Here is a 7,551-nt window from a genome sequence, read left to right as displayed (position 1 = left end):
CCAGCCTGGCCCCAGACAGAGTCCAGGAACAACTCCTGTTCCTGATGTGAAAAATGTCCCTGCCAGTTTAGGCAGAACTTGCTTTAGAGCACTGGTGCCCAGCCTACCACAGGTCTGTGATTTTTTTTTTTTGATCTAGTGTTTATTAGGTATGAATTTTACAAACATTAGCGGTAGCTGTGGAGCTGGAGAGTATTGCACCTTCTCCAAGCTGCATGGCGAGAACCACCAATAGTGTGGTAGAACTTACAGCCCTTTCCAAGGCCGTGGCTCTCTTGGCCTGCAGATAGCCTACGCATCTCCCTATGCTTGTTGTGGACCACTGGGTGTCAGGTTTCCTTCTGATAGTGTTATGGAATGGATCAACTAGGATAGCCTCAAAAACTTTGTATGTGGAATCTTTAACCAGCCCAGTGAGAATTCAGGACTCAGAGCCCCACAGTGGCATCCAGCTTGCTCTTCTGTAACAGACTGAAGGCTTTAAGCAAACTAGCTGGTTAACACCATGATAGACAGGCTTGCTGTTAAGTTGCCTTCTTAGGAACTAGATTTTCAGCCACCGTGGCGCTTATATGTAACATAACCTTGCTTGGCTGTAGCCCAGTAGCGTGCTTTATTGGGCTGGGTGGGGCGGGGATCCCTGTGGAGAGCAGAGAGCTGGTGGTACTGCCAGCAGCGGACCCTCAGAAGAAAGCTCATGACATCAGACTGCTTCTTCCATAGCTTCTGGATGTACTTGTATGCACCATCTTGGTTTACCCAGTGGCTGCTGCCAGACAGAAAGGAAAGGCTACCACAGGTCTTGTGTCTTTTTTTTTTTTTTTTTTTTTTTGAGACGGAGTCTCGCTCTGTTGCCCAGGCTGGAGTGCAGTGGCGCAATCTGGGCTCACTGCAAGCTCTGCCTCCCGGGTTCACGCCATTCTCCTGCCTCACCCTCCCGAGGAGCTGGGACTACAGGTGCTCGCCACTACGCCCGGCTAATTTTTTGTATTTTTAGTGGAGACGGGGTTTCACCGTGTTAGCCAGGGTGGTCTCGATCTCCTGACCTCATGATCCGCCCGTCTTGGCCTCCCAAAGTGCTGGGATTACAGGCGTGAGCCACCGCACCCGGCATTTCTTAACACTGTCTTTTCTCACTTCACTCTGCAAGGTAGGAATTACCTCACTGGTTTGCACCTGAGGAAACTGGCTCAGATGGTTTCATTCAGCATTCACTGGGGAAGTGTCTGTTGGGGGCAGCTCTAGGCTGGATGTGCTCGAAGGTCCATAGCTGGTTGTTGGTAGGGCCTGGAGGGTTCATGTCTAGGTCCACCTGACTTGAAAGCTCATCCTGACCTTGCTTAAGTGCTGATTCCCCTTTGCAGATGTACCTTTTATTGTGCTTCCCTTTATTGCTCTTTGCAGATGCTGTTTTTTATTTAGAGATTGGAGGCTTGTGGCAACCCTGTGTCAAGCACATCAAACAGGTCTATTGGTGCTATTTTCCCAACAGCAGGCAGACATCATGTCTCCATGTCACGCTGTGGAATTCTCAAAATGTTTCAAGCGTTTTCATTATTATACTTGTTACAGTGACCTGTAATCAGTTACTGAAGTTAACTATTGTGATTGTTTTGGGACACCATGAGCGATGCTCATATAAGACAGCAAACTTAATGGAAAAATGTGTGTGTTGTGACTGCTTCACCAACTGGCCATTCTCCCGACTCTGCTTTCCAGGCCTCCCTATTCCCTGAGGCACAACAATATTGAAAGGAATAATCCATGCGGCAAATGGCAAACATCATTGTCTTATTTTAAGAAGTTGTCAAAGCAGCCTTCAGCAGCCATGCCCCTGATCCATGGAGGCAAGACCCTCCCCCAGCAAAAAGATCAGGATTAGCTGAAGCCTCATATGATGGTTAGCATTTGTTTAGCAATTAAGTATTTTAAAATTAAAGTATATGGCCAGATACAGTGGCTCACGCCTGTAATCCCAGCACTTTGGGAGGCCGAGGTGGGTGGATCACTTGAGGTCAGGAGTTCAAGATTAGCCTGGCCAACATGGTGAAACCTCATCTCTACTAAAAATACAAAAATTAGCTGGGCATGGTGATGGGCACCTGTAGTCCCAGCTACTTGGGAGGCTGAGCAGGAGAATGGCTTGAACTCAGGAGGCGGAGGTTGCAGTGAGCCAAAATCGTGGCACTGCACTCCAGCCTGGGTGACAGAGCGAGACTCCATTAAGTATATACACAGTTTTTTGTACACAATGCTACTGTACACTTAACAGACTACAATATAGTACAAACATAACTTTTATGCACAATAGGAAACTAAAAAGTTTGTGTGACTCACTTTGTTGCTATGGTCTGGAAACAAATCTTCAGTATCTCCGAGGTATGCCTGTCATTTCCCTTTCCCTCTTCTTGCTGGCCCAGAATGACCTTGTTTCTTGCCCCTGTCTAGCCCTGCATGCTGTAGGGGTTTGCCTTCTCTGGTAGGTCTGGGCACTTTGTATCCCTTGTAACCTTGGCTCCTGGGATATGACACTGGTACAACTGGCCTCAAGTTCTGTTGGACTAGTGAGCCTCCCCCAACACCTCCTGAAGTAGAACCAAAGGCCTGTGCACACACCGTGCATGTGTGAGTCTGCATAGAGATGTCAGCTTCCTGCAGGGTGTTCTGAAGGGATGTCCTGTTGTGACTGGACTGTGACATAGCCACAGGCCCAGAGGCAGGAGTGGCTCAGAAGGGAGTGGCTGGTCCCAATTTTGATCATCTAGGAACAGGAAGGTCCTTAGAAAACCATGCCCCAGAAGGCAGGATTGCTGGAGAGTGGACAGCTGCTAGCCAGCTCGCTATCTGGATATCACTCTGCATTGGGAGGGAAGATGGCCTCTGCCATGGTGTAAGAGTCCAGGAACCAGGCAGTGAGGACTTCCCAGCGGTCAGTGCTTCTCACACTTGCGGGCCAAAGCACCTTTAGATGAGGCCAAAGACTTTACGTTCCTCATTAGCTGACTTTTTCCCACTTAAGTGGAAAAAGAACCCAGAACCTTTGTAAAAGTTTAAGGGGAGAAGGGCTTTCCCTCTTGTATCTTGGTGATAAGGTTATGCATGACTCATACTTTAATTGCAATGTGTACACAGCTAAAGTCTTAATTATTAGAATATAAGAGCCCCAAACTACTGTTATTATAGATAAGCGAAACTATGCAGTATATGGTTAAACAAACCACAACTAATTAACATTGAAAGTTGGCCGGGCGCAGTGGCTCATGCTTGTAATCCCGGCACTTTGGGAGGCCGAGGCAGGGGGATCGCTTAAGGTCAGGAGTTCAAGACTAGCCTGGCGAACATGATGAAACCCCGTCTCTACTAAAAATACAAAAAATTAGCTAAGCGTGGTGGTAGCCACCTGTAATCCCAGCTACTTGTGAGGCTGAGGCAGGAGAATTGCTTGAACCTGGGAGGCGGAGGTTGCAGTGAGCTGAGATTGTGCCACTGCACTCCAGCCTGGGCGACAGAGCAAGACTCCGTCTCTCAAAAAAAAAAAAAAAAAAAAAAAAAAAAAAAAAAAAAGAAAAGAAAAAAAATTAACTACATTTTTGGGAGGTGGACAGAGCAATGCTCTGTCACCCAGGCTGGAGTGCAATGGCACAATCTCTGCTTGCTGGAACCTCCGCTTGCCGGGTTCAAGCAATTCTTATGCCTCTGCCTCCCAAGAAGCTGGGATTACAGACGTGTGCCACTATGCCGAGCTAATTTTTGTATTTTTAGTACAGACAGGGTTTCACCATGTTGGCCAGGCTGGTCTTGAACACCTGGCCTCAAGTGATCCGACTGCCTCAGCCTCCCAGAGTGCTGGGATTACAGGTGTGAACCACCGTGCCTGGCCCTCTATCTGTTAATTTAAAAGATTAGCAGCCATTTAGAAAAAACAACAAATGAGACTTTTGCAAGACAATCTAAATGATACACTAATAACAATCCTTTGGGAAAGTGACATTTCAACCATGTGAGTTTCTGCTTTAGGTTATGAACTCCAAAATGGACTAAATGGACTAACCCCCAATAATTTATAGTAGCTAGTTTTTTTTTTTTTTCACAGTAGGTAATTCTAAACCATAAATAAAATAGAATCTGAATTTTGGCTTTGTTCACCTGTGGGAACTTAATTAAGAAAGCACTGGCCTTTGGGTCGGTTCAAATATAGTGGATGAGGCCAGGCGCAGTGGCTCACACCTGTAATCTCAGCACTTTGGGAGGCCGAGGCGGGCGGATCATGAGGTCAAGAGATCGAGACCATCCTGGCCAACATGGTGAAACCCCGTCTCTACTAAAAATACAAAAATTAGCCGGGCATGGTGGTGCACGCCTGTAGTCCCAGCCACTCGGGAGGCTGAGGCAGGAGAATCACTTGAACCCGGGAGCCAGAGGTTACAGTGAGCTGAGATCATGCCACTGCACTCCAGCCTGGCGACAGAGCGAGACTCTTGTCTCAAAAAACAAAAAACAAAACCAAAAAGAAAGAAAACCAAATATAGTGGATAATCGTGGATCTCATAATTGTAGAAATGAAGGAATTAAGCTAAAAAAATACATAAACCAGAATACCTAGTGCTAAAGTGGAATGTCCCCACCAAAACTCATGTTGACATTTAATTGCTATCCTAATGGTATTAAGATGCAAGACTTTTTTTTTTTCTTTTTTTGAGATGGAGTTTCGCTCTTGTTGCCCAGGCTGGAGTGCAATGGCACAATCTCAGCTCACTGCAACCTCCGCCTCCCATGTTCAAGTGATTCTCCTGTCTCAGCCTCCTGAGTAGTTGGAATTACAGGCACATGCCACCACGCCCAGCTAATTTTTGTATTTTTAGTAGAGACGGGGTTTCATCATATTGGTCAGGCTGGTCTTGAACTCCTGACCTCAGGTGATCCACCTGCCTTGGCCTCCCAAAGTGCTGGGATTACAGGCATGAGCCACCGTGCCCAGCCGATGTGGGACCTTTCAGGGTTGATTAGATTGAATAGATTAATGCCATTGTATGGCATGATAGAAATCAGTTCAGCCTCTTTGCCCTTCCACCTCTCACTATGGGATGATACTGCAGCCAGGCCCTCATAAGATGCCAGTGTCATGCTCTTGGACTTCTCAGCCTCCAGCTCTGTGGGAAAAACATTTATTGTCTTTATAAATTACCCAGTCTGTGCTGGGTGTGGTGGCTCAAGCCTGTAATCCCAGCACTTTGGGAGGCCAAGGTGGGTGGAAGGCTTGAGCCCAGGAGTTTGAGACCAGCCTGGGCAACATGGCAAAACCCATCTCTACAAAAAAACACAAAAATTAGCTGGTGTGGTCGTGCGGGTCTGTGGTCCCAGTTATTTAGGAGGCTGAGGTGGGAGGATCACTTGAGTCTGGGAGGTGGAGGTTGCAGTGAGTCGAGATCATGCCACTGCACTCCAGTCTGAGCGACAGAGAGAGACCCTGTCTGAAAAAACAACAAAATAAATTACCCAGTCTGTAGTATTCTGTTATAGCGGCAGGAAACGGACTAAGACACATAGATTATGTTACTGTGTTTATTTATTTATTGTTGTTTTTGTTATTCCTGACTCTTAATATAGAGTCTTAATCAGATGAGCATTCTGGCCTGGTCTCCGCAGAAGGGGCCTGTCTTTAGCCACGGACAAGAGGAGATTAAGGCCAGCATCATCCACAAGGTCAAGGGGCTGCAGAGCCCCCTAAGGCCAGTGTGCTGATGGGCCCCTCAATATTGTATCCTACCCAGTGGATTGGCAGGACTGGGTGACTGACAGGAATCATTGTTGCCTCTATGGGAAAGTCTTATGGAGATGGGGGCTGAGGGATGTTGAAGTTTAGCCATTACATTACAGTGAGAGAGATTACATTACTAAGTGTCAGAGACCCTGCTGGGCACTTTCTGTTACTGTCACAGGTGGCTTTCACAGTAACCTTTTAAGAGAGCTCTTTTCATTTTTCTTGTACATGGCTGTCCAGTTGTTCCAGCAGCATTTGCTGAAAAGACTATCTTTATTGTATTGTCTTTGCTCCTTGTATTTATGTGGGACTATTTCTTGGCTCTCTATTCTGCTCAAGTGGATCAATTTGTCTATTCTTTGCCAATGCCACTCTGTCTTTCTAAAATTAATTTTTCGATTGACTAATTTTATACATTTGTGGTGTACATCATGTTTATATATATATGCACATACATACACACACATTGTGGAATGGATAAACCAAACAATTTAATAATATGTACATTACCTCACATACATATTTTGTGTGTATGTGATGAGAATGCTTAAAGCTATTCTCATACTATTTTGAAATACACAATATGTTGTTATTAAGTTTAGTCACCATAAGGTACAATAGATCTCTTGAACTTATTCTTCCTAACTGAAATCTTGTGTTCTTTGACTAACATCTCCCCAATTCCCCGACCTCCCAGCCTCTGATAACCACCAGTTTACTCTCTATTTATGAGTCTGGCTTTTTCTATACTCCACATATAAGTGAGATTGTATTTGTCTTTCTGTGCCTGGCTTATTTCACTTAACATAATGTCTTCCAGGTTCATCCATGTTGTCACAAATGACAGGATTTTGTTTTTTAAGGCTGAATAGTATTCCATTTTTTATATATACCACATTTTCTTTATCCATTCATCCATTGATGGACACTTAGGTGGATTCTATATCTTGGCTATTGAGAATAATGCTGCAGCCAGGTGCAGTGTCTCGTGCTTATAATCCCAGATAATTGGGAAGCTGAGACAGCAGGATCGCTTGAGGCCAGGAGTTGCCCTGGGCAACATAGACTCTATCTCTAAAGGAAAAAAAAAAAAAAAGAATAATGATGCAATGAATATGGGAGTGCAAATATCTCAACGTACTGATTTCATATCCTTTGGATATATACCCATTAGTGGGATTGCTGGATCATGTGGTATTTCTATTTTTAAAATTTTTGCAGAACCTCCATACTGTTTCCCACAATGGCTATGCTAATCACCACTCTGTCTTGATTACTATGGCTTTATAGAAAGTCTAAGTCAGGTAGTGGTGGTCTTTGACTTTATTTTTCTCCTATATTGTGCTGGCTAGGTCTTTTGCCTCACCATATAAAGTTTGAATCAGTTTGTTAATATCCACAAAATAACTTACTGAGGTTTTTTATTGAGATTGCATTCATTCCACAGATCAAGTTGGAAAGAACAGATATATTAACAGTATTGAGCCTTCCTGACTATGAACATGGAATATCTCTCCATTTGTTTAGTTCTTTGATTTCTTTTGTCAGTTTTGTAGTTTTGTTCATATAGATCTTGTACATATTTTCTTAGATTTGTACCTAAGTGTTTCATTTTTGGGGGTGCTAATGTAAGTGGTATTGTGTTTTAAATGGCAAATTCTGGACCAGGCACGGTGGCTCACGCCTGTAATCCCAGCACTTTGGGAGGCTGAGGCAGGCAGAACATGAGGTCAGAAGTTCGAGATCAGCCTGGCCAACATGGTAAAACCCCGTCTCTACTAAAAATACAA

The 7,551-nt window shown here is 44.7% G+C and overlaps 1 pseudogene; it reads right to left on the bottom strand.

Moving 5' to 3' along the window:
- On the bottom strand, window positions 140-789 carry RPL15P4 (ribosomal protein L15 pseudogene 4; annotated as a pseudogene).

Source organism: Homo sapiens, chromosome 6 (assembly GCF_000001405.40).
Source record: "Homo sapiens chromosome 6, GRCh38.p14 Primary Assembly".
In the NCBI taxonomy this organism is placed as follows: Eukaryota; Metazoa; Chordata; class Mammalia; order Primates; family Hominidae; genus Homo; species Homo sapiens.
Note: the sequence above shows the minus strand (reverse complement) of the source record. Positions and strands in the feature narration are given on the sequence as shown.